Source organism: Homo sapiens, chromosome 5, assembly GCF_000001405.40.
Source record: "Homo sapiens chromosome 5, GRCh38.p14 Primary Assembly".
Taxonomy (NCBI): Eukaryota; Metazoa; Chordata; class Mammalia; order Primates; family Hominidae; genus Homo; species Homo sapiens.
In genome coordinates, this window is record NC_000005.10 from 115,520,216 (window position 1) to 115,546,758 (window position 26,543).

Consider the following 26,543-nt stretch of genomic DNA (forward strand, 5'->3'; position numbering starts at 1 on the left):
TTATTTAGAGCCTTAAACATACAATATTCTTTTACTGATAAATTTGGTAAGAGTCCTCCTAAATATTGGTGGTGGTAGTGCAGACAACCATAGAACCACAAGACCAAGGGTAAAGAAGACTAATGTTTAAAAGGGCCCGGTCAAAGGAAGACAAAGCCTATACTTGTCATGAAAAAGGGATATTAACAATTCAAAAGGGAAAAACCCATAAAACTGGAGATTTCAATTTATGCTTGGAGTTTAGAAATTACAGCCAATTCATTTTCTGACTCAACTAGAGCTTTTTGTATTAGGCAAGTTAAACATAAAAAAAACAAGGACTACTTAGATTTTACAAATGAAAAGTGATGGAAAACAAACGTATAAAATTTGCATTCATAATAATATATTTATGATATACTTCTGATCACAGCAAACCAATTAAAAAACAAAAATTAAAGGCATCCCTTCTCTCATGCAGTTGACAACAAAAGTCTCCCCATATCTTTAGCTTCTGTGATCTCTACTAGAAAAAAAATTTAGAATAAACTGTACATAAATCATACTTACATAGAAGTATTAACAATAAATGCTATCTTTTAAGTTTTAACTGGCCACAAATTATCAATTAGGTTTTTCTGAAACAGGAGTTTACTATCATTTGCATTAGGATAATACCAATCAAGTATTGAGTTAATAAGAATACACTTAAATTTGGTGCAAATTTAATTTTATTAAACCTTACAATGAATGTTGTGGCATATGATTTTCCATTGTGTGACAATTTATTAGCTGGCATCCGAATACAGTACTTCTTTTGAAAAAATACACAATGGGAACTGACAAAAGGGAGAGAAACTAGTTGTTTAGTGACACATAAGGGCAAAAAAAAAAAAAAGAAAAAGAAAAAAAGAAAATGATGATGACCAATTAGTTTGTTTCCTTAGTATCTAACTCTAAAATGGTTAAAGTTCTAGGCAATAATGCTGCTGTTACAGTGTAAAAGAGTATGTCATTATCTCATCCAGCCTGCACAATTCTAAGAAAATTAATTACAAAAATTATCATACCTGTAAATTCAGCCTAAGGTTTCTGTTGGGCAATATGATTTTTAAAGAGCTACTTTTCCCATATAACCTAAACAATTTTCCCAAATAATAGTAGACTGGGGTCTCTATACACATTAAGGTAGTCACTTTACAAGTGAGCTATCACTTAACTTCAAATTCATAATGGGCACCAAATTATCTTTGATTTGGGTTTATGCCTGTCAGATTTATGAATAAGAAAAATGACTATTTTTAAGTCTATAATCCATTTGTCTTTATAAAGTAGACTGGCATCTAAGTAAAATGACCATTTCTTTTATAGAAATGATCAAAACAGTGGAACATCTAAAATTCAGGAGGCCCCAAAAGGGCATTTTCATAGAAATGTTAATAACTTACACATTAACTCCAGTCAATAACACCGTGCTACAGTGTACAGTTTAGTTAGACTCAAGAGTGTAATTGGTTCATTATTAAATTTACTCATCTGTGGTTCAAAAAATAACACAAATTTAAGTATTTTATTATAATCCATCTCATAATTGTGAGAATACTTTCTGACAAAGGCTTTATCAGTGTCACATTTATGAAACAATTTTCCCTAAAAGAAAATAAAATCAGGGACAATTTTGAGCTATTAAATTAACTGGTTTTTCAAAACCTCCCAATGGCATTTGTGGAGATGGCAGAGAAGGGAGAAATGTATTCTAAGTGAAATAAGTCATTTCAGTTATCAAGACTGAGTTCTAAGTTATCTATTTTTACTGGTGCAAAAATGCTATTTAAAGAAATCCTTACTTTACACAGGAGTTGCACAATTCAAATTCTGCTGCAAAACAGTGAGATGTGCCTCACTATAAGAGCATGTAAGCCCTCCCACCCAGCCCCCAAAGAGGAGGAGGAAATACTAAATCAATTAAAAATTCAATTGTCATCTGTTATCCTCAAATTATCGAGATCAACTAATGTAATTTACTATAATGGCAAAGTTTTCCTTTATAAAAATAATAGCTTATTCATATATAATTCTTATACCACAAAGTTAGAGGCAGATGATTTCAAGATACTGACATTTGATATTTCTAGAATATTGGTCTAAATCATAAAGTATTCTTAATATATGTGACAGTTCAAATATTTCATCAAATTTTCCCACAGTGAGAGATAGTAAAACCTCTTCATCAAAAAGTTGGAGATCGTTCATTTATATCCAATTTACCTTTTCTTAATGGTGAAATCAAATTTACAACCTAGCAAATGAGTAAGAATATCTTTTAAAAATTAAATCTCAATTATTTAACCAAAAAGTCTAATGTTCTCTTGTTTATTTACTACTCCTCATTACAAGGTTTTTACTGACTAAAGATGATGACATACCTAATGTGACTGTTTGCATTGATGACTCCTTAAATAGTGTAACATCAACCCTCAGAATAAAATGTCAACACAAAAATCCAAGTGAGTGATCCAGCTCATTGAACTCACAGGTAAACTGAGTTTTTCTCAAATCAATAAGGAGCTTTTTATTGAGAACAACTTCATTAAGACATTTGCAGGGCAAATATGCCATCATAAATTTTATTCTGAATTACAATAAAGTGCTGAATGATAATTACCTGAATCTTTTTTAGTACTTTTCACTTATCTTAAGTTAAAAGAGCCCTTTCTGTGGCATTAGCAAATCTGTGAGTGAGTGAGTGAGAGAGAGAGAGAGAGAGAAAGAGAAAGAGAAAGAAAGAGTGAGAGAAAGAAAGGAAGAAAGAGAAAAGAAAAAGCTAACTTCCAGTAAGGGAACAGGAAGCACTGCAACCTTTCATGTTTAACTGGGGTGACAAATAATTGAGACCAAAGTAATCAAAGTAATTCATGCAAGTTATCTTTAAAGGTATACATAAGCTTGAAGAAAGAAAGAACACTGTTACTGACCTTTGATATTATGGCAGTAAATTGCATACTAAAATACCTTAATTATCCTAGATGCCTAGATCTGGCTTGGCAAGCATCATGCCACTGACATGCTTTAGCTCTTTTTGTAACTAAAAGTGATTTGCAGTTCAATTACTGAGTATTTCAATGTGACTCATTAAGCTGTGTGATGAACTTTGAAGTTAAATTTAAGCAAATTCTCTACACCTAATCACACCATCAGCACAAGCAGGACAATGCTGGAGCAGCATGAAAGGTGGGTCACTTTAAAAAGATTCTTCCTTTTACTGCATGATATATTAAGATGACAGACCTAAATTTCAACTGGGTTAATGAGTTAGAATAGATCTGTTTCCCAAATTTAGCACACAATAATTTCAGTGGATTAGAGAAAGAAACCTCAGATGTGAAGAAAGTGAAGAAAAAAACAAACAAAAAAGCTTGAGCTATAATAGCTAACCTGCAGCTCTAAAAATTGTCATGCTACAGAGTACTTTCAAAAAATTAAGTTTGTAACAAACATAAGAAAACAGTGTTTTGAGTTGAAGTTGACCAACTGCTGCATAGAAAATATGCTAACATACAACAGTCAAGTTTAAGCCTGTGCATAGAGAAGATAAAGCACTTATGGTAACTGCAAATGGTAACGAGTCCTTAAGGTTTGTACAACCTAGTATGGGTCCATAAGGAAAAAACTGTAGTAGAAATGGTTAGGACAAACAATAAAGTAGAAACAGGGGGGAAACTTGAGAAGAGAAGAAAGAAGCAAGAAAAAAAGACTTTCAATTGTATAAAATTCACAAACCAGTAAAGTATAAAGACACCATGGAGAAATGGTTAACTCTGCCCCAAACACCCAACAGCAAACAAAACCAGAATGAATAAGCCTTTGGCAGACAATTTTAGAAATTTGAATGTTACATTTCTCAATAATTCACAAACAATATATTATATGGTATATTTATATTAAATATTGGGAAACCAATGTTGTAAATTTGATGCTTATAATGCTTTAGCCAATGAGAGCACAATGATATCAATCAAGCTAAATGAATGCTGGTGTTATCACAACAGTGCTCATTTATGAAACAACTGTTACCAATTCGTGCTTTAACAGTGCTAAAATACAGTCAAGTTATCATCTATGAAGGGAAACAAAAGTCTCTAGCTTTTCTGGGATATGCCCTTTATAATATATTCTATGATTCACTATGACACGAGCAGCAAGACACTGCAATGTGGTATGATTTATAGGCTGGATTAAATTTTTAGCTATTTCCTTCTCATCCAGCAAGTCACTAGCAGTTTGTTTGTGCAAGTTTGTGGCATCAAAATGTGCACCTGATTTAATAAGGAGATTCATGATGTCTGGATGGTTGTTAAGAGCAGCGATATGCAGGGGACTGTTGTCATCCGAGTCTCTGACGTTCACATCAGCACCACATTCTATCAGTATTGCAGTAACTTGTAGAGATGGAAATTTACAAACAGGGTACCGCCCTACACATGTAGTATTCTTGTCCACAGCCAGATGAAGAGGGCTGAAGTTATTCTTTCCCCTTGGATGCAGCTTAAGAAACCTGTATATAGTCTGCTTTTTGAAATGGTCTTGTTCTAGAGTACAAGGAACTTTCTCTAACAAGCAAATTAAGTGCAAAATAATAGAAAGGGCCTTATTTAACTGTAATGGGTCAGCTGGACACTGAGTTTGTTTGATAGCTCGCTCTATTTCAAGGACGCTTTTGCAAAGTATGCCCATAAGATCATCAAATGTAACAGTAGTACCCAGCAGGCCTTTAGCCCTATCCTGTAGCATAAAGGAGAATAGTTCTGCAAAAGATAATAAGCTGCTGGCGGTCATTGGGCTTAAAGGATCCAAATTGCTCTGCTGCATATCCAAAGCATACTTCCATAGGTTGATGCATCGTTTGAAATTTCCAGAGTCTGCATAGACAGCGCCTCTATATCTAATATAGTAAGAGGTATCAGGATGAGAAGGACCAAGAATACGTTCTCTGATTAATAGTGCCTGCATTCTCATCTCATCAGGATCAGCAATAAGACCTTCTAGCTCTTCTGCACTGTTCACTTCCTTGGCATAATCATAAGCCATTATTAGTGTCTGTGGCACTGGTTTACTAATAATATTAGTCCTATCACTGTACCTCATGTTCATTGCCTTTTTCCAGTATTTCAAAGCCCCAAGCAGATCTCTTTTTTTGTCTACAAATGTAGCTCCCAGAAGCTCTAGAGCATTAATACGTTCTGTCTTGCTGGTCTGTGCATGGTGTGTCAGAAAATCCACAATATTTGTGTGACCAGTCACACTTGCTGAGAGAAGGGGAGTCATTCCATAACCATCCTTTTCCATCTTGGCACAATACATAAGAAGCATCTTCATGATGTCCAAACTTCCAGATTCTGCACAATCATGCAATGCAGTATTACCTTAAAGAGAGAGAGAAAAAAAGAAATAACATACATTGAGGGACCAAAATATAATGTAATATATATATGCACTTTAGAACCTAAAGAAAAGCAGGAAGCTTTAAGTTCCTAAGTAGGACATACTTGGTTTACAAACGAGAAAAAAAAATTCCCCCAGTACCTAAAACTAGTATCTGATATTAAACTTATTGAATAAATGACATGACCAAATTAGGTGTAAAAAGACATCCAAAGTCACCAGAAGAAATTCAAACTAATCCATGGTCTCTTCGTATTTTTCATTAATGTTTTAAAGTGCATATTTTATTATCTAAAAATCGGTAGAATACAAATAACCAGCTATTCACCATTTTACTGACAAGTCACTTAACTTCCAGGTCAGTTTCCACATTTATAAACAAGGAATTGGTCTTTTTTTTTTTCTTTAGAGACCAGGTCTTGCTATGTTGCCCAGGCTGGTTTTAAACTCCTGGGCTCAAGCAATGCTCCTGCCTTAGTCTCCCAAAGTGCTGGGATTGCAGGTGTGAGCCACAATGCCTGGCCAGACTGCTCTTTAATATATCTAAGATTCTTCATTTTGACTCTAATAGTAGTCAGAAATTATTTTTTCAATATTTATTTCTGATTGCCAAGTTGAATTTCAACTGTCTTAGCCAAAATTCTTGGTAACAAAGGACTTTCCCCAAAAAGCTCTCGTAAGAAAAACAAATCCATGGAATCTGAAAAATATGCGGGTGGTTCAATATGAACTTTAAAAGGAGATATCTGAAGTGTCCTTTCATAATGGATTATTTCCTATTATAATTTAACTTTTTAAACATTCTTTATAGCTGTACTAAATGTTCTAACACTGTCCTTTTCTTCCCACACACAGATTAAAACTGACAACAGGCACTGGCACATTAGTAAAAGCCTGTATGAAACACATTAAGACATCGGAAACACCAGGTATTTTAGCTAAGTTTAATGATAAACATTTTACTAATCGTCAAAATAGGAATTATCATGCCGACCTCTGGTATTTACATACAATGTTTACATAAAATTTCAACAGTCAGTCATTTTAGGCATGTCTGTAGAAAAGAGGTAGCATGGCAGGCTGAGACTGCTATCCTTAGAAAGACCTTCTTGCAAGGTTGGACCTTTGGCTGGTAGCTGGGAACTTGGCTGGTAAATAGTTCTCTATACTGATCTAAAACTTTCCCTAAATGATAAGGGTATCTCACTGTACCTAAACTGTATGTAGAAACAATGCAGTTTATGCTGAATGTCTGGTTTCCTTCTGGGAGTCTAGAATTTTGGGTATGAGCTAGGCACAGGGTACCTACATGACCAGCCCCCAGTAAAAACCTTGAGCACTGGGTCTGTCATGGGTTTTCCTTGGTAGAAACATGACACATATGTATTTACATTACTGGGGAAGAATATGCTCTATGTGACCCCTCACAAGAGGAACAAAGCATAAAAACATCTACACAAAGATTTCTCTACACTTCACCTGCGGCTTTACCCCTCATAATTCAGCTGCATGTCCTTATGACATTACAGTAATAAATCTTACCTATGAGTACAGTTATATGGTGAGTTACTTCCAAATTTGGGGGTGGCTTTGGGGATGCTCAACATAGCATGTGTACCAGAAAGTATTTTAAACCTGAATACTTCAAATAAATCTACTTTGTAACTAAAGTTAGAAAAAAACAAGTTATTATAAGAAATATTGAATCTTTCCACAAGTTTATCCTGTTTCGTCTTCTATGATATCTACAAGGACTATATAATTATTCTGACCCAAGATTTCAATGGTCTACAATGAAATAGTGTTTGATAAAATGTTTTAACAATGAGTAAGCTAACCAAGCACTGAAAGAGCCCAGAACTTCTGACTATCGATGTTCATTTGTTTAAAATAATTTCAATTAAACATGACTACTACACCAAGTATATTTTAAACACTCTTTTGTATTAAGGACCTCTACTATTCCCCATGTTTTTCTAAGAAATAGGCAATATAAGAGAAATCTGAATATAAAGAAATGGCTTAGATGGCACTTTTCTCTATTCAGAGTAGCACAAAATCAAGAATAAAATGTAGCAAAAGCTGGCCAGGCGCGGTAGCTCACGCCTGTAATCCCAGCACTTTGGGAGGCTGAGGTGGGCAGATTATGAAGTCAAGAGATCAAGACCATCTTGGCCAACATGGTAAAACCTTGTCTCTACTAAAAACACAAAAATTAGCTGGGCATGGTGGCACGCGCCTGTAGTCCCAGCTACTTGGGAGGCTGAGGCAGGAGAATCACTTGAACCTGGGAGGTGGAGGTTGCAGTAAGCAGAGATCATGCCACTGCACTCCAGCCTGGTGACAAAGTGAGACTTCGTCTCAGAAAAAAAAAAAAAAAAAAAGGTAGCAAAAGCCAATTAAATGAACTCTATTTCTGTATTTATCGAAAAAATACAAAATATATTTATTTTGAATACACCCACATACCAGGAGAAAAAAAGTAGCTTTAAAAAAACAAACAATAAGGAAGACTTTCACATCCAGTAATGGCAGAGATACCTGTAACATGATCACCCTCCCACTAACAACTAAAAAAACTGAAAAATTTATTTTTAAAAATCTGCTTGACAGGATTTAAGACATAACAAGGGGACAATATGCAGGAGAAGAAAAAACTAGAGAGGTCAAGTCCAGAATTTGAGGCAGCTTTCCCACAGTGGCCTCCACCAATTCTGGAAGAGCTAGCTGAAACACTGAGCAGAACTAGTGACAGCCTTGCAGGGATAGAGGGGAAAAGTGGAGCCTACAGCCTACTAAGAAAGGAACTTAGAAAATTCCCCACACTTTGGGTTAAACCTCCAACTTTAACCCTAGGGAGTTAAAGTTAACTGCAAATAGACTAGCTATCGCAAAAACTTAAATCGAATTTAAGATCATCTCATTATTGATTTGAAATAATCCAGGATGACTAGTATACAGAATTAAAAGCCAGAAGCAAATATAAATACTATTTAGAGGAAGATATTATCATATTAGGGTTCAAATTATTTATATTTTTCATATGTAATGCTTGGTATCCAATCAAAAATAATGAAAAGAAAATGAGGAACCATAACACAAAAAACAATGGAAATAAAGAGCTGACAGAAAAGCCCAACAGGAGACCCAGATAATGCAGTTTATCAACACAGATTTTCAAATAATAACTATGCTTAGCATATTCGAGGAGTTTTTTAAAATTGAGAATTCAACAGAAAACTGGAAACTAATCAAGTAGACATTCTAGAACTGAAAAACTCGGTGAGTGGCTTTAAAAGTGGATTTACACACAGCTGAATAGAGAATTAGTAACTGGAAGGTAAATACGATGAAAATATACAGAAAGAAGCAGGGAGTGGTAAAAGAACAGAAAAGATGGAGACTATAAGAGAAAGAGGGAACAACGTCAGAATATTGTTAACATACTCAAAACCAGAATTCTAGAGCAAAAAAATGGGTCCCAAAGCAATATTTAAGAAAAGATAAAGTCCAAGAATTTTCAGAAGCTGATGAAAGCTTAAACTGCAAATGCAGTAGGTTTTACAAACTCCAAGAAGGACAAATAAAAAGAAAAACACATTGACATACAACACAGCAAACTGCTGAAAACTAAGGACAAAGAGAAAAATCTTAAAACAAGAGAATGAATGGAAGTTACCTATAAAAGAGCAACAATCTGACAGCAAAGTTTTCATCAGGAACAACAGAAACTAGGAGACAGTAAATGATATTTAAAAGCACGAAAGAAAAGTAACTGCCAACTTAGAAAAAATTCTATACCCATATCAAGAATAAATGTCAAATAAAGAACCCTTTCAGGAATAAAGAAATGAAAAGGAAAAAATTAAGATATTTATTACCAGCAGATCTAAATACTATATGGTGTTCTTTAGGCAGAAGGAAGATGAGCCACGTGGAAGCCTGGAGATATAGGCAAAAACATCAACAAAAAGGGTAAATTTGTGAGTACATCTAAATAAATACTGATTTTAAAAATAATATCTTGTAGGGCTTGAAATACATACATAGAAATAAAACACTTGACAGCAATACCACGAAATTATGGAGGGTAATTGGTGTTAACGTGTTCTAAGATCTCTTTCTTGTAAAGACATAAAATTAGAAATTTATGTTAGCCTTTGATAAGTCAAAGTAATGCTATCTAGAATAACTACTAAAATAATAGAGGGTATGCACATAACTACATTTTCTCTAACATATAGAAAAAAATGAAATAATAATCCAAAAGTGGCAAAAAAGAAGACCAAGGAACACAAAACAGGCAGGACAAATAAAAATCAGAAAAGTACCCAGGAGATGAAAATCCAAAAATATCAGTAATTACATTAAATGTAAGTAAACTAAATGTTTAATTTAAACATTTAAAAGACAGAAACTGTCAGACTGAAGATACAAAGAAAAGACAAAAACTTAAAAGACAAAAACTGTCAGACTGAAGATACAAAGAAAACTCAAGACACACTGCCTACAAGACACACCTTAAATATATGGGTAGAAAATGATCTTTAGAAGTGAAAGTTTGGGAAAAAAATGCCCTTTGCAAAAACTAAATATTAAGAAGCTGTCTGATATTAAAATATGAAAGTAGACTTTAATGCAAAATACATAATTAGTGAAAAAAGGAAATATTTTATAATGTTAAAAAATTCAAAATATACAGATATAATAATTTTAAACTTGTTTTCACCTAATAACATAGAATTAAGTTACGTAAAGTAAAAATCGACAGAACTACTAGGAAAGCAAACAAATCTGCAAACATTAGTACATCTAAACATATCTTTCTCAGTTTAGAAGACCAAAACCAGTAAGGATGAAGATTTGAACATTACAAACTTGATTTAACTGGCATAAATAAAAGAACATGGCACTCAACAACCATAGAAAACAATTTTGCCCCCAGGGATACAGGGAGCATATCCAAATACTGACCATATTCTTGGCCGTAAGGCAAGTCTCAACAAATGTCAAGGGACTGAAGTCACTGAGTATGTTCTAAGTCCACTTATGAATGAAGTCAGATATCCAAAACAAAAAGATAACTAGAAAAACCTGTCTATTTGAATTTTTAATACTCACTTGCTTCGTCGGTCAAAGAAGCAAGCCCAATGAAAATCAGAAAATTTTTTTAACTGGGTGATCATAAAAAGCACTAAATAATAAATTAGATAAAAAGAAAGGCTTATTTTTTAAATAGCTAAGTTTCCATCTAAAGAAGTTACAAGAAAAAACAGTAAATTAAATTAGAGAAAGTAGAAGCAAACAGTAAAAAAAAAAAATTAATGAAAAAAGGGATACGTATGCGAATACAGCATTTTTTTATATTCCCACATTTTATTTAACTGTTGCCCCCTTTTAATCTTATATTAATAACTTTGCAAGGTAGAGATGATAAACTCATTCTACATACAAATAGAAAAGAGAATTTAGTGGGAAAACATAAACTCCTGTCTCCCAACTGCCAATTCAGTGTACTACTCATTTCTAAGGTCATATTTTAAATGCCAGTCATATTAAACCTCAATGAATAAATTATATCTAATATAAAACCAAACCTCATAATAGAACTTCAACCAATCACATCACTTTCCAACTCAAAAAACTTTCACAATTTCTCTAAGGAAAAGCAGACAATCTTTGAGATGGCCTTCAAAATTCTACATCATTGATTCTCAAAGCACTATCTGTGTGGAGAGAGCAATGAGGAAGAAATCTATAGTTTCAGAAAACATTATGTGCAGTAAAGTTTAATATTGGATATTCAAGGATACGTATTTTAAAAGACTAACAAATATTTCCCTACCCTATCTCTTTAGCTTCATTTCTCATTATCTCTGGAATGAATGATTCACTGTGCATCTAACTCAGGGACTGGCAAACTTTTCCGGTAAAAGGCCAGGTAGCATTTTAGGTTTCTAGACTATAAGGTCTCTGTTGTAACCACTAAACTCCGCCAAGTACCATGAAATATGCTATGGTAGTATGTTAAATTAATGGATATGGCTGTTTCCCAACAAAACTTTTACTTTTGTACTCTAAAATTTGATTTTCATGTGTCATAAAATATTTTTCATTTGATTTCTTTCTCAACCATTACAAAAATGTAAAAACCTTTCTTAGCTCTCAGGCAGTACTGAAATGGGGTGGGCTGGATTTGAACCCTGGGCCATAGTTTGCCAAACCTGCTCTAACCCGGAGACATGGTCTGCATCTCCCACACACAAGGGAGAAATTCTGCTTATGCTTCACATTATTCCATCCTAAGTACTTCTCCCAGCACCAAGAACAAACAGCCCTGTTCACTTCCACCTCTATGCCTCTGTTCTTGATTTTCCTATAAAGCACTTCCTTCTTTACCATTTTAACTTCTTGTCCTTCAAATCTCACTAGAAATTTCAACTGCTTAAAGAGGTTTTCCTGGTTTTATCATATCAATTTTATCATTGTGAGAATGCCTGGTGAATAAATATATGAGTCATCCTAATAATTATTCACATAACATCTACTATTATAATACCTTACACTAGTATAATGCTACTGCTTCACAAATAAGTTCTTACCTAAACAGTCTATTCTTAAAGTATACAGATCCTATATTTCTTATATCCCAGAAGCAACTAGCAACCTGCTAAAGCTAAGGTAGATTCTAAATTTTTAATATTTGATATCACAAAAAGTAATTCAATCTTAGCTTTTGCAGACAAAATAAGTTCAAAAAGTAATATCCTAGAAGGAGATCTTTTTAATTACTCTAACAGGTTAAGTGTATAACCACCACACTTTTCTGCCCTGGAAGGCCCTAAAGGTAAGTTTTTTAATTATAGCCTAGAGCATTATTACTTACAGCTTAGAAAACAGAGGGGAAAAAAAAAAGGCATGATCTTAAAGCAATTATAACTTTTGTGTCATTTCTCCAAGTCTTTTTATATAGTATGCTTTGACAAAGTTATAATCAGTATATATATAACTGTTTCCTGCTTTTCACCTACATCTTGGGCATTCTGTCATGTGTTATTACATCGTCTGCATAGTTTCTGTAACTACACAGATTCTACATAATCCTTCTTAATGGTTTTATGGTGAAAGTTCAAGCAAGGGAGCAAGTCATACATTACATAAACATTTCCCCGTTGATGGACATCTGCACTGCTTCAGAATTTTTACTATTAAAATTAATGCTTAAAAAACTATAAGGACAGATAACAGAGCAGTGATTGGCAAGGGCTGGGGGCTAGGAGAGGGGTTTAATGCAAAGGAGCATGAAGGACATTTTTGTTCTTACCTTTAATAAATGCGTAGTATATGTTTGTCAAAAATTACAGTACTGTACACTAAAAAGTATGAATTTTATTGCATGTAAATAAGTCAATAAACAAATGACAAAAAAATTAACGCCTACCTAAAATAGAATCACAAATGTGTGATGGCTTAATAGACATCTTCAATTCACTACCAATGGGATTATAAAAATTGTTTAAAGTTCCACTTTATAGTATTCTTTCTACTACTAAAATTAACTTTTTAATTTATATTACCTCTATTCCTTGGTAAATAGAATATTTTCTCATATCTGTTTATAAACTTTATTTTCTTTTATGCCATGTCTATGTTTCAGTTTCTGAGATTAATCTGGCTTTCTATGTATAAGCACTTTATAAAATGATAACCAGTTTGTTAAATTTACCGTAAATATTTTGCTATGTCAGTTTTTTCAAGTGCTAGATATGCTATAAGTATTAAATGTAATTTTTTGTGAAAAAGTATAACAAGCCAAATTTAAAAAGTGAGTTACCAGGGTCTTGTGACTAGTATGTACTGTTACATGCCAAAGATCATTAAAATCATATTTTCTTTTTTGCTAGTTAACATAATTGATTTAAAGTTTTGGTGCATAACGATATATGCCAAGTACTATAGATTTAGCTCAAGAATTTTCTCTGGGTTACACAGGCCCTTTAAAAACATTCCCATAATACAGCGATCGTACTTCCCAAAGATTTTCCATCTCCACATCATGTCTTCTTTTCGCATTCTCAGAATGAGAAAGACAATGAACAATAAAACAACACAAAGTTCAAAAATAAATATTACCAGGAATCTGAGATGAAATTAAGGATATGCAGCAATGAAATTTAATGAATTTACCTTTGGCTAAAGAAAAAAAAGGAAGAGAAAAAGAAAAACATATTATATTAAACAATTCTCAATGCCTGATTAAGAAAAAGTTCATTTGGAGAAAAAAAATATTCTGGCACTGAATTCATAAAAAAAAAAAATTTCATGATTTCTCAAAAGACATGTTTGTTAAATGGGCATTTCTTAGAAATCCGGTTAGTGGCACAACATTAAGTATTAATTCTGTTAAAGCATTTCTCTAGAAAGCTAAAACAGTATGATACGAATACATTAATTTTCAAATTCATAATTTAACACAAAAACAATGCAAAGAAAATCTGGAAGAATGAAAAGTGCCATTTTCACTGGGATGCTTCTGGGATGAATATTAAGGTCAGGAAACTATGGTAAGTGCTCGTGCATTAAAGGGTGGTAGTATTCCTCAAGAAGCATCTGAAGTGCCAATCTTCACTGCTGTTAATTTTAAAGACACCTGTAATCTTTTAATAGCAGGTGAGTAAGACATTAAAAATTCATGTTCAACTGTGAAGCTTAGGTGCCTAGGAATAGAATCAACATTTTTTTCAAATTAGGTAACCCAAAAACATAGCTGTATTTTGAGGAAGAACTAGTTAGAGGCCTAAGAATTATCTGGGTCCAAACCAAACGTTTTGAGTTTGATAAGGGCAAGTGATTGTTACCAACCAACCATCTAAATCATAAAAGAGCTTCAACATAACATATAAATATCTCAATTTAGATAAAATTACCAAGATTCACCAGGATCAAGTCAGTTTCTAAACCACCCTCACGGAGTAGACAGAATTTACTGCTCTTTATAAAAAAACAAAAATGTCCTCCTAAGGACTGCAAAATATTTAACAAACACAGTAGATTCTGCCGTTTGTAAATTCCTCATGTATTTCAAGCTTTGTGTGTGTGTTTAGCATAAGTCAAATAAAGCTGTGCTTCTCAAACTTTCATGTATAAAATCACCAGAGAATCATAATAAAATGCAGATTTTGATTCAGATCATCTAGGCTGGATCCAAGTGATACCTACGCTGCTGGTCCTTGAGTAGCAAGAAAATAGAGAAGGATTCTTATTTTCTTGTTTGCTATATAGATACTTGCCACATAGCTAATATATCTAATAGCAATATCAAGTCATATGAACATAAATTTAAAAGGAGGGCTAGGTCACAGCCCTGTTTTACACCATATAGAAATAAAATTGTATCATTCCTCTTTACTCTAAGTTTAACCATATGCCAAAGCAGGAAGGGGTTGTGTTTTACAATTAGATTACAAAGTTTCATCCATGGAAAAGTTCCTGCATAGTAAATGGCATAGTATCAGTAAATTCTGCAGTCTATTCCTAACAATTTTCTTGTTTAAGTAAGACATTATATAAGTGACACATAAATTTCCTTAAAAATCCGTTTGTAAAATAAAAATCCAAATTGGTATAAACACCACCATCAAAAAAGTTAAAAAAAAAAAAAACAAACACAGAATGAGAGAAAATATTTGCAAATGATATATCTGATAAAAGACATACATAAGAATATATAAACAACTCTTACAGTTCAGTAATACAAAGATAACCCAGTTATAAAACATGCAAAGGTTAATGAAGAAACTCCTCCAAAGAAAATAGAGACAGAGAGAGCCAATAACCACACGAATTAAGTACATGAAAAAATGCTCAACGTCATTAGCGATTGGAGAAATATAAATCAAAATCACAATGAGATATCACTACACACTTCCTAAAATGGCTATATTAAAAAAGAAGAAGAAGAAGAACAAGTGTTGGAGAGGGTGTGGAGAAACTGGAACTCTTCTTACATTGCTGACAGGAATGTAAACTGGTACAACTGCTTTGAAAAACAGTTTAACGGTTCCTGTTAAAAGAGTTACCATACAACCCAATAATGCCACTCCTAGGTATGTGCCTGAGAGAAATGAAAACATATATCCACAGAAGAATTTATCCATGAATAGCTAAAAAGTATAAACAACCCAAATGCCCATCAACTGCTGAATGAATAAAAGTGATATATCTATTTCAATGGAATATTATTCTGCAATAAAAAGAAAAGCACTCATACATGCTACAAAATGGATGAACCTTGAAAACATTACACTAAGTAACAAGACAACTCACAAAAGACTACATATTATGTGATTCCATTTAAATTAAATGTCCAGAACAGGCAAACTTAAGACAGAAAAGAGATTACTGGTTGCCTAAGACTAGTGCAGTTTCAGGGGAATGAGGAGGGATAGGAGGGAGTGACTCTTAATGGATATGAGATTTTTTCCGGGGGTGATGAAAAGCTGATAGTTGTGATGGTTGTATAACCCCGTGAACATACTGAAAAGCCATTGAATTGTATACACTTTAAGTGGTTTTGTGAATTTTATCTCAATAAGGCTGTTTTAAAAATCCAATTAAAATAAAAATATTATATTTTTGGTGAAAGTATAAGTGTTGACTGATAGAAGCAGCAATTAGAGGGTCTTTTATTATAATACATTTATTTGGAAAGACACAAAAACAGTCCTCATCTCTCTTTCTTCAGCCTACTATGCTTGGCACCAACCCATTCCTTCCTCAACTTTGTAGCTGGGGTTGGGCTGAGTACAGAGGTGGTCCACTTGTAAGATGAGGATAGGGTGTGTGGTTCAATTGCACAATAATGCTGATTCCAAGTATTTTATTCCCTGAATAACTAACAGGTGTAGGTTGATGGAGGAGGTAAGAAGGGATAAAGGGAAAAAAACAACTTAGGGTATCAAAGGAGCACTAGAAGAAGGATTCTCTGCTTAGAATGTTTCCCTTCCCCATGTGTAGTCTATCATGAGAGATACTCAAGAACAGAAGTTCAAAAAAAAGGAAATTAAAAAAAAGAAGATAAATTGTGCCAAGACTACTTACTATGTGCCCTCCCTTCATTAATTCTTTGTATAAGGCACTGAGCAAAGAACAAACAGAAATTTAACAATAAAGGTCCTTGAGCTTACAACAAAGTTAAACGCTAAAAAATATCTGCATCCAAAGAGGTAAGATGCATTCTTATAACCTGAGGGAGATGAAGAATTGCATTTGAAATGAGTCTCGATGTTAAGTAGAATTTTCAAGGCTAAGAGCACTGGAGCTAAGGGATGAGGACTAAAAGCAACTAATTATGTGTAAAAAACTCATCTAATGACAGAAAACTTCAACATTATAATTCCCTGTCCTCTAGTTCACAGACTCCCTGTTCAATCACAGCTCTTCCCAAAGGGAGGAAAAAAAGAAGGAAGACATGTTCTGATCAGATTTGCATCCAACTGACTTTTTCATCTGGGTCTCTCCCTATCTCTTCCACTTCTATCTTCCATCACATACATTCCTGCTGCCTCAACAGCATAAATCTATGTAATGCCCTGGGTTTCCTGAATTTTATTTCAAACAAACATATTTTATCAACCAATCAATGAAAATCTGATAAAAAATGAACCAGTGAAGGAACTACATTGTACCCGAAGGCCAGTAAGTGAAACGTAACTTCTATCTTAAGCTCATGTTACTGCCACGAACAATATGAACAGCAGTAGTGCTCAGGATCTACTCATTCTCACCAAACTGCTCAATTCTGTGAGGATTCACAGTTCAAAATCCAATCTCCAGGGACAAAGGACCACATGGATATTTCCCTACTGGACTCAATTTGCACACCATCTACAGCTTAGTTTATCCAACTAAGATACTAATTCTTCCCAAGGACACAGAAAAGTGTGCCAGGGGATACAAGAGGGAAAAGAATGAACACAGAGCAACTTACAGGAGTAACTTCATAATTTGGGATTAAAGTGTTAATGACTTCAACTAGTAAGTTATTTAAACATTACTCAATCAAAATAAATATAGATATATTAGAATAAGTCCCTCCCTTCCCCCTTTTATTTTTCTCTGTAAGTAGGTGTGCTGAGGTAACCAACAGCTGAGAAGAGTTTTCAAAGTCAAGAAGGAAAAGAGAACTTCAGCTTTCAACACTCAGATAGTACTAAAGTATACTAAAATAACCTAGAATGACATCAATCATTATCTTAGTCTATCTGAATACCAACAGTTTTTAGTTTACAAGAGAGATTTTCTCATTTGAGATTCTTGTGCATTTACAGTGGGGAATTAAATAAGATTTTTCTTTAGCATTTCCTTGACTAAAATACATCTATATTCTAAATGCCCATTCTATGAGAGAGAAATAATATAAAGCCTTGGATTTGCTTTAAACTACTATAGAAAACAAAAGGAAAGTAGAAACTTTTTTTTAAACTTTAGCAAATGGGTAATTGTTGAAGTAAGATGATGAATACATAGTGGTTCAATGTATTCTCTCTGTGTAAGTTAGAAAATTTCCATAATGAAAAGGCAAATAATCTGTCTGAACTAGTTCTCTCAAACCCTTTTAATGCTAGCAATCCTTGCCACATGCCTACATGAATTTCTCCCTTTTCTGAACCCCTATATTCTACCTGTGCTACTCATTTTTGTCCAACTACTGTCTTACTTTGTTACTTCAAGTCTTCATGCATGTATTTATTTCCCTACAGAAAGGCCTATAAAACATAGTGCTTGCCATCAAGGAGCTTATAATCTTTCCTCTCTTAAATCCAACATGTCCACTCAACAAGCTCATTTAGGGCCAGATACTCTTCCTAATGCATGGGGTAAAAACACTAGGTCTTTAGCCTCAAAGACTATGTAGTAGAATGCGGTTAGATGTCACAGTGTTGTAGTAGAATGCAGTTAGATAAGTTTCTCTGAAAACAAACAAGCAAACAAACAAACCACTCCAGTTAGTCCCCTGCTGAAAAACTTTTACTGGCATGAAAAATAAAATCCAACTCCTGTACCTAGATTAAATGTCCTTTAAAATTCAGCCCTGAGTGCCTTTTAGTTCTAATATGCCTACTTTCCAATTCCTGGACCCTCCAAGCATATTCTTCAAAGTGCCTTTCCTTATGCCATTTCCTAAACCTTCAAAACTGCCAAAACCCTTCCACAGATCCACATCCCAATAAACTTTCTGCAGATCTAAACCCCAACCTGTCCATAGATCTAAACCCCAAAATTCAAAGCCCTGTTTAACTTCTACTTTCTCCATGAAGCATTCCTAGTCAGTACACCCGCTCTAAAATCCTATAGCATGGATTGCTTATACTATTCCTTCAGAAGTTAAAAATGTGACACCTCGTATCTTCTCATAACCTCCAAAATGTCCCACAGAATGCCTTGCCTACAGAAAGTGCATGTTAATTACCTTATTACCAATTTATTTAATTACTTTGGGTATCTAAACTGACTGATGAATGAGGACAGAATGTCTTCTAGAGCCAGTCTCCAAATCTGAGCCTACAGCGTTTTCTATTGGTCTGTAGTACTGAATCAAGAACTTTTAGCTGCTCAATTTCTGTTAGAATTAGGGTGTAAAAGTGGAATTGAAGAGGACTTAACTTTGGATCTGCAAAGTTCTAAGTCCAAACAAAAACAACCCCAAAACACAAACAAAAGAACCAAAGGAGGCCAAAGATGACTATAACCATGAAGCGCTGAGATCACTGTGATAGCTCTGAGAAGGACTCACCTAATCACTACAGATTTACAGTCTAGATTCTTAAATAGGAACCAACTCCCGTCTCAAAACTCAATTGCTATGACTGTTAAACTGAAGAGGTATTCCTAAATATATCAAAGATTTTCTCCCCTTTTGGAATGCCATGGGAAAAGAAGAAAACCATTGTCCCCTCAGGTTATAAGTTGTTGGGGATAAAGCATTTCCAAATATCTAATAGAAGAAAGTACTACTGTTGCACTTACCATACTGTGGTTTAAGTATCTGCTTATGAACCTGTCTCTCCAATCAAACCATGAGCTCCTCAAGAGCAGGGAATCAAGGACTGGCTATCTTGTCTTATTGCTCTTTGTATATCCTAAGTCTAACAGCCTGGCACACTGCGGGACTCAACAACTGCTCTCTCAATTAGTGAATTCCACCTTAGGTTAAAACATGTTCAAAATGCCAATAGCCTGTTAAAAAGTAATGAAAAGAGGTTAAATAACATGTTCAAATATCAACCGCCTGTTTAAAAGTAATGGAATGTAGAAGTCACATGCATTTTATCTTTAAGCAGACCAAGCACAATGTACTGACATTTTCTTTCCTCAGAACCATTTCCAGTGAATGACACACAAAATGTCCTAAGGAATTATTCTAATTTAACTCTAGTCTTATTAATCTTTTCTACTTTTTGAATGGGGCTAAAAAAGTGGGGAAAAATCCTCTCTTGCTGCTAAATCACATCCTTCTCCAGTGTCCCTGCCTTAGTTTCAATTGGTTCCTGCTTTTGTTACCATTAACCCATAGAAAAAAATCCAGAACCAATGAGAGAATGAGCAGTGAAGCTTCAGGATCAGAGTGGAGGAGGATGAACATGTACTTTAATCTGCCCCCAACATTCATGAAGAATCACTATGGAAATTAACAGATACCATGAAAAGGTAAAAATTCTGCACATGAAGTGACAATATCTATATGCATGTGTATGGGTATAAAGTTGAGGTTACGAGAAAACAATTTTTGGCATGAAATTGTTTTCTCATGTTATATGTAGTTTTTTTAAAGACATACATATTAGATACTGATACTGGGGAAAAAAATGACTTAGAATAAGTTTGGCCAAAAGAGAGAACAGACATACCCTCACATATAAGGCTAAAAGATGATAGTGGTGATAAAGGGAACATTGTTTTGAAAGAGCTCAAAGGTAATCAAGTTAAATACTGTTCACAGCTTCTCAGGAGAAAATGCTGAAAAAATCTGAGCTATTTATATTAGAGTTCTCTCATATACTATATCTCCACAAGTACATAAAGAAGCTTTGGAAAATATAACGGAAGTAATACCAGTTCTCATCTCTCCAATAACATAGGCTTTTAAAACATATCCCAATTTGACTTAAATATGAGTTTATCAATAATATCTACATCAAGCTGATGAATAAAAAGCCCAAAACAAAGAAACAAAAAATTCAACAAACCTAAACAAGCAGCCATGATTTCAAACCATTCCCAATATTAACATGGTTAGTTCAGCAGTAATTTGTTGTCTTAAAACAAGCATTCTTCAAAAGAATGATAATTGTTTGGAGAAAAAAGAAAAGCCATGCTGTCATTTGATCTACCAAGCCACCTCTAAAGATAATCAGGAACAAATGAAAACACTTATTAGAAAGAATGTTTACAGAAACATTTTTTATCATACTGAAAAACTGGAAGCAACATAAAACTCCATCAGTAGAAGAGTATGCAGCTATTGAAATTAAAGAGCTATAATTGGTAATATTAAAGATAACATTTATTAAGCTAAAAAACAGGTTATAGAACAGCATATAAAACTGCATACATATATCAGTATGCAAAATTCAGAAATATCTTTGGAAGTATTATCCCTGAGTACTGGGATTTTGTGGGATTTTTACACTTCCTCTGGAAAAAAAAATTCAGAAAAATCACAATGATCTTGTATCATTTTTATAAAAGATCACACTTGTATCATTTTTATAAAAGATCACACAATCTACAGCAAATATGCTCAGTAACTATATAGTGCCCCATAATTGTGTGGTTTAACCTTTCTGAAAGGCAGACACTATCACAACTGCAAATGTACATTCACTTTGATTTAGCAATTCTGAACACAGGTATTTATACTACAGTTATTCTCACACAAGCGTGAAAAGACACATTTTTGTTCAAGAATGTTCACAGCAGCATTGTTTATATTAGCAAAGTACTGGATGTGACCTAAATATCAACCAATAGAGACTAGATAAATTATGTACATTCATACAATGAAATACTGTATAGCCACAAAACAGAATGAGGTAGCTATGTGTGTTGGAGTTGAATGACATCCAAGGTTAGAAAAATAAATAAAGATAAAAAAGTATGTAATCAACCACTAGACGGAGGGCTACACAAACAAGCATGCTTGTACATAGACAAGTATGCTTGTATTTGCATAGACCAACTCTAAAAGGACACATAAAAAACTGTAAATAGTGGTTGTCAGCGCATTAGAGATCTAGAAATCAGGAATAAGACTTTTTATTCAAATGTAAACCAACAATGTAAACCAATTTACACTGTTTGATTTTTTTTAACATGTCTATATGCTACTTTTAAATTTTAATGGCTTTTAAAAATTAGGTAGTGAATTATTTTGCTGTCGTATAAATAGATTCGTGTAAGGGAAGTTAAGGTTTTCAAGTATCAAAATTATGCTATCAAGGCAGTTGCTTTTAAGGGTTAAAAAAATTCTAAACTACTTTTTGCTGCTTTTAGTTTATTACAATCAACAAAAATTATACACAATCAAAAACCGGAGCCCTTCTTCTGGACAAAGGTGTTTACACTGTTGCTAGCCAACAAATCCACATCTGTTTAATCTAGTCCTTGTTCTTCACTCTCAGTATTGAAGCAGTTTTAAAAATGTGTTTTCTCTCTTGCTATATTTAATGCATGTTCTTATAAAAGGATTATCTATTGACCACAAACAAATATAGAATAAGGGAACAGATTTGCTCCTTTCCACTGATATTAATCCTTCCAGGTCAGTTTAGCCTAGCCTTCTCTGACAGAAAAAGTGAAATGACTGCCTAGAACAAACAAGACCATGACTCAATAAATATAGTAATTTCTACTCCAAGGTTGTTCTAAAAAAAAAAAAAACAAAACAAAAAGCTAAGAAAAATGTATTACATTTAACCATATTCCCAAGTAGATTAAGCATAAGCCTAAAGGCTCAGATCAGCTACCACTAACATGCTCTGTAACTCTGGGGAACCCATTTCCCAAGAATTTTAAGTTACTCCAAATAAGAGAGAAAATACTGCTTAACAGAGTAACAGAAGTCTTTTATCACACTTTTTCAATCTATTACCAAACATCATAGAAACACTCAACAAAGTCATACTGGAAGACTTACCTAATCAAAACAGGTCTGTCAATGCTGGTTTACTCAACACCAGTGCTTATAATGATGTATCAAACTTCCTGAAAATAAGTGGTAGACATTTAGAAAAACAAAGAAGCTGAACTCACCTTTGACACTTTTTCTATTAACATCTGCCCCCTTTTCAAGTAAATACTGAGCAATCTCTTTATGTCCTTTGTAACATGAAATCATCAAGCACGTATGCCCATGTCGGTTTGACACTTCCAAATCAGCTTTGTGTTCTACAAGGTACTTCACTATTTCCAAATGGCCATCGAAACACGCAGCTCGAAGAGGAGTTGAATTGGTTAAAGTCGTGTTGTTGACAGATGCTCCATGATTTAACAAGGACTGGACCACCTTCAGATGTCCTGCTGCAGAAGCGGCCCATAAAGGGGGAGCCCCCTCAATGGTTTCGCCATCAAAATTGACGGAGCCCCCAACTTCTATGGAGGCACTGCATTGCTCTAGGAGGAATTCCACCATGTCAAGGTGCCCATACCTGGCGGCCATCAAGAGTGGCGTGGCCCCATTTGTTTTTTCAGAGATCAAGGAGGAAACCTCCTCTTTGGATTTGCTTGCCAACAATTTGGTGAGAAGCCGGAGTTTGCCATCCCGAGCTGCGTTAAATACTGCTGTCTTTAGATCCATTTATGTCCAGTTGAGAGGCTGTGCTTTATTTATCTTTCAAAGCAGAGCTCCAGTTTAACTCTATCGACACAGGCAAGAGTCACAGGAACCAAAGTCCAATGTTAATTGCTGCACCCCAGAACGGATACACAACCACGAAGAGTATGTTCCGTCCTACTGCTTTCCAACATCTGACAACCAGGGCACCAAACTAGAGAAAGAAAAAAAAAGTAGCAGCATTTAATTTTCTATAGAAGAAGGCAAAACACTTCTTAATTTCCACTTCTGTGGGAAGAAAGGAATAAAAGCTATACTTCAGGCACTACTCCATCCCACACACCCCCCCCACCCCCAAAGAAAAGGTGGTAAAGAAAAATACAGAAGGATACACAGAGACCCAAATGTTCTGGTCGCAGGCAGTCTCCTCCATGTGCGGAAAATTTAAACACTACAGGCAGCCCGTTTTCTCGCCTCCAGCTCTAACCAGCCAAGCTTTGTTCTAGTTTTGCTTTGCACACGCCCAGGGAGAGTACAACCGAAAGAGGCAGGAGACTCGGGTTCAGAAATGTTTCTCTTTCTTGCAACTGCAGGAGAGCTGGCCAAGGGCGCCAGGCTGGAAGGCCTGAGGCCGGGTTTCGAGAAAGAACAAAAAGGTCGGACACACCAAACCCCGGCTAAGGCCAAAACTGTGCCCCGAAAGATTCTCTTTCCTTTAAAACTACTCACGGCTCTCAGGAAATCCGCCTGCCTTTTAGTCATTAACTTCGCCCGCCCCATTTCGATCACCCCCCACCCCCCGCCAAGGGATGATCCGCAGGTTCCTCAAACCACAGTCGCCCCAACACAACCTTCCCCTCTCCCTGTTCCAGACAACGGCAGCCCCCTCCCAATCTCCTCCATCGACCACAACCCCCTCCCGATGGGCCAAGCTGTGGCCTCCAGCCCGCTGCCCGCCTTCGGCTCCCCCGGCGCCCTCCTTCCCGCCCAGGCCTTCCGCGGGCACCTCAGGCCCCGGCCCGAGCCCTGGCAGGCCGCTGCCGCCGCCACTACCTGCCCGGGGACTAGTCCTCCCCGCCGCCGCTGGTCACTCGGGCTTTGTCCGTCCCCTTCAAAGGGAAACCGTTGTCCCCACCGCCGCCCGGGCCGCCCTGCTCCGCCTGCGGCCGCACAGCTCCTCCATGCTCCGCGCCCCAAAGGAATGAATCCGGCCGCGCTGTTCGCCACGCCCCGCCACCCGAGCTGCCTCCCGCCCTTAGTCGGCTCGGACTGCAGCGGCTGCAGCGACTGCTGCGACGGATGGTGTAATGGGCTGCGAGCCGGGGGCCGGACAAGCCTGAGCGTCACATCACTGACTGTGCCGCCACGCCATTGGGCCGGGGGAGGGCGGCGGCCGCGGCCAGCAACAGCCTAGGCGCGGGGCGGGGCGTCGCGGCCGGGGTGGGGCGACGGGGAGGGGGCGGGGCCTGAACTACTGGGAGGACGTGCCTGCGTGCAACGCGCTGGGGGGCGGGGCGCTGCGAGGGGGCGGATCTGTGCCCATCGAAGCGGCCCGAGGCAGCTCGAGTTCTGAGATCTCGCTGGCTCTTCTCCTCTCGGATTTTCGGGGTGCTCCCTTAGGGAATCTTTCGGTCCCATCTCAGAGACCCCAGAAGGGAAGTGTATTAGTGCGTTTTCACGCTGCTGATAAAGACATACCCGAGATTGGGTAATTTATAAAGATAAAAAGATTTAATGCACTCAGAGTTCCACGTGGCTGGGGAGGCCTCACAATCAAGCCAGAAGGGGAAAGGCACGTCTTACATGGCAGCAGGCAAGAGAGGAAAATCAGAGCCAAGGAAAAAGGGAAACCCCATATAAAACAATCAGCTCTCCTGAGACGTACTCACTACCACCAGAGCAGCATGGGGGAAACAGCCTTCTTGATTCAATTATCTCCCACTAGGTCCCTCCCACAATATGTGGGAATCATGGGAGCTAAAATTCAAATTTGGGTGCGGACCAGTATTACCCTCACACACGTGAAGTCTCTCGGACTAGTCTTCCGTCCTTACTTTGGTGGGCCCTGGAAATTACCAAGCTCGTAATTACACCTCAGAACACACACGGAGGAAACTGAAATTTCAGAAAATGTGATTAGTTTTGGAGGCTGTCAAACTGACTCTCTTTCTAAAGTAGCCTCTAAAAAGCATAAAGGCTACGAGGAATGGTAAACCCTAAGAGCAATGTAAAGTCAATGAGGTCAGGTTCTTGAGCTCTGAGTAATAAATCGGGAACTAAAGCTTAAAAGGTTATATATATGAATGAAAAGAATTACTTCTTCATATAGTAGTTGATAAACCTCTGGAATTTGATGCTAAAACCTACGTTGCATTAAACTAGGATGAAAAAGTTTAAATGTGTTTGGGAAATAACGCCCATAATGAATCCTGATGAGAAAACAGAATTTTTGAAAATGGACCTTCAATCACTTTGTTTGAGGGAACTTAAGCTCACATAATTCCTTAGTACCACTAGGAGAAATAGAATATTACAGTAGGCAGTCTGACCCTCAGCATATGTAATCCATAACGTTATGTTAGAAGTCATGCAGCACTAAAAACATTTATAAAAAATCACAACTTCATTTTTGTATATTGTAGTGTTGTTCAGAAGTTTATGTAGTTTTGCATAATTGAAATAATTTTCATACAACTATATATTTTGCTTTTCCTTTCTATACTCTAAACGTTTCTTATGTTTTTACAGTCTTAATAATTTTTAAGTATAGCATAGTATTTCCCTTAGGTAGTCAGTATCAGACTACACTCAACATCAGATTCCCAAAACTGAAGTTAAGGTAATTGCCACTGAGAAGAAAATATAAAAGAATAGAGTATAAAGGATAAGATTGACCATCCATAAAAATTAACCAGCCAAGAGGACTGGCTGTTTTATCCCCAGCATATGTCACAGTTCTATACTCTCCCAGGGTACAGATAACAGTGTACAGTGTCCCAACCAAGGCCTAACCTGAGCTGACCTGTCTCTCTCACCTAATTCAATAAGATGTAAACATTCACATCAGCCATCTTCAAACTGAGCTCTGTATCCCTCATGGGATTGTTAAGGGATAGACGGACACTTAGTTTAAAGGCTACCAATTTCTGCTGTGGCTCACACCTGTAATCCCAGAACTTTCGGAGGCTGAGACAGGCAGATTGCTTGAACCCAAGAGGTCGAGACCAGCCTGGACAACATGGTGAAATCCCAACTCCACACACACGCACACACACATGCACGCACACGC

The 26,543-nt window shown here is 36.0% G+C and overlaps 1 protein-coding gene across 1 annotated transcript, besides 5 other annotated features; it reads right to left on the reverse strand.

Annotated features, from left to right (window-relative positions):
• Positions 1 to 692: 692 nt before the first annotated feature.
• FEM1C (fem-1 homolog C) lies at positions 693 to 24,560 on the reverse strand. Its single transcript, NM_020177.3, has 3 exons — positions 24,308 to 24,560; positions 22,735 to 23,468; positions 693 to 5,402 (listed from the first exon to the last, which is right to left on the reverse strand). The coding sequence occupies exons 2-3, from the start codon at positions 23,276 to 23,278 to the stop codon at positions 4,093 to 4,095; spliced, it is 1,854 nt and encodes a 617-aa protein (NP_064562.1). The 5' UTR covers positions 23,279 to 23,468; positions 24,308 to 24,560; the 3' UTR covers positions 693 to 4,092.
• Positions 24,109 to 24,875: an enhancer, noted in NCBI's record as "NANOG-H3K27ac-H3K4me1 hESC enhancer chr5:114880021-114880787 (GRCh37/hg19 assembly coordinates)". NCBI's record gives its function as "activates a minimal SCP1, AML or CMV promoter by ChIP-STARR-seq in naive and primed H9 embryonic stem cells {active_cell/tissue: H9 hESC(naive and primed)}" and the evidence as "EXISTENCE:reporter gene assay evidence [ECO:0000049][PMID:30033119]".
• Positions 24,141 to 24,310: a silencer, noted in NCBI's record as "silent region_16249". NCBI's record gives its function as "represses an Ori minimal core promoter by ATAC-STARR-seq in GM12878 lymphoblastoid cells {active_cell/tissue: GM12878}" and the evidence as "EXISTENCE:reporter gene assay evidence [ECO:0000049][PMID:35858748]".
• Positions 24,361 to 24,410: a silencer, noted in NCBI's record as "silent region_16250". NCBI's record gives its function as "represses an Ori minimal core promoter by ATAC-STARR-seq in GM12878 lymphoblastoid cells {active_cell/tissue: GM12878}" and the evidence as "EXISTENCE:reporter gene assay evidence [ECO:0000049][PMID:35858748]".
• Positions 24,417 to 24,711: an enhancer, noted in NCBI's record as "tiled region #5951; K562 Activating DNase unmatched - State 1:Tss". NCBI's record gives its function as "activates a minimal TATA promoter and a strong SV40 promoter by Sharpr-MPRA in K562 cells {active_cell/tissue: K562}" and the evidence as "EXISTENCE:reporter gene assay evidence [ECO:0000049][PMID:27701403]".
• Positions 24,511 to 24,850: a silencer, noted in NCBI's record as "silent region_16251". NCBI's record gives its function as "represses an Ori minimal core promoter by ATAC-STARR-seq in GM12878 lymphoblastoid cells {active_cell/tissue: GM12878}" and the evidence as "EXISTENCE:reporter gene assay evidence [ECO:0000049][PMID:35858748]".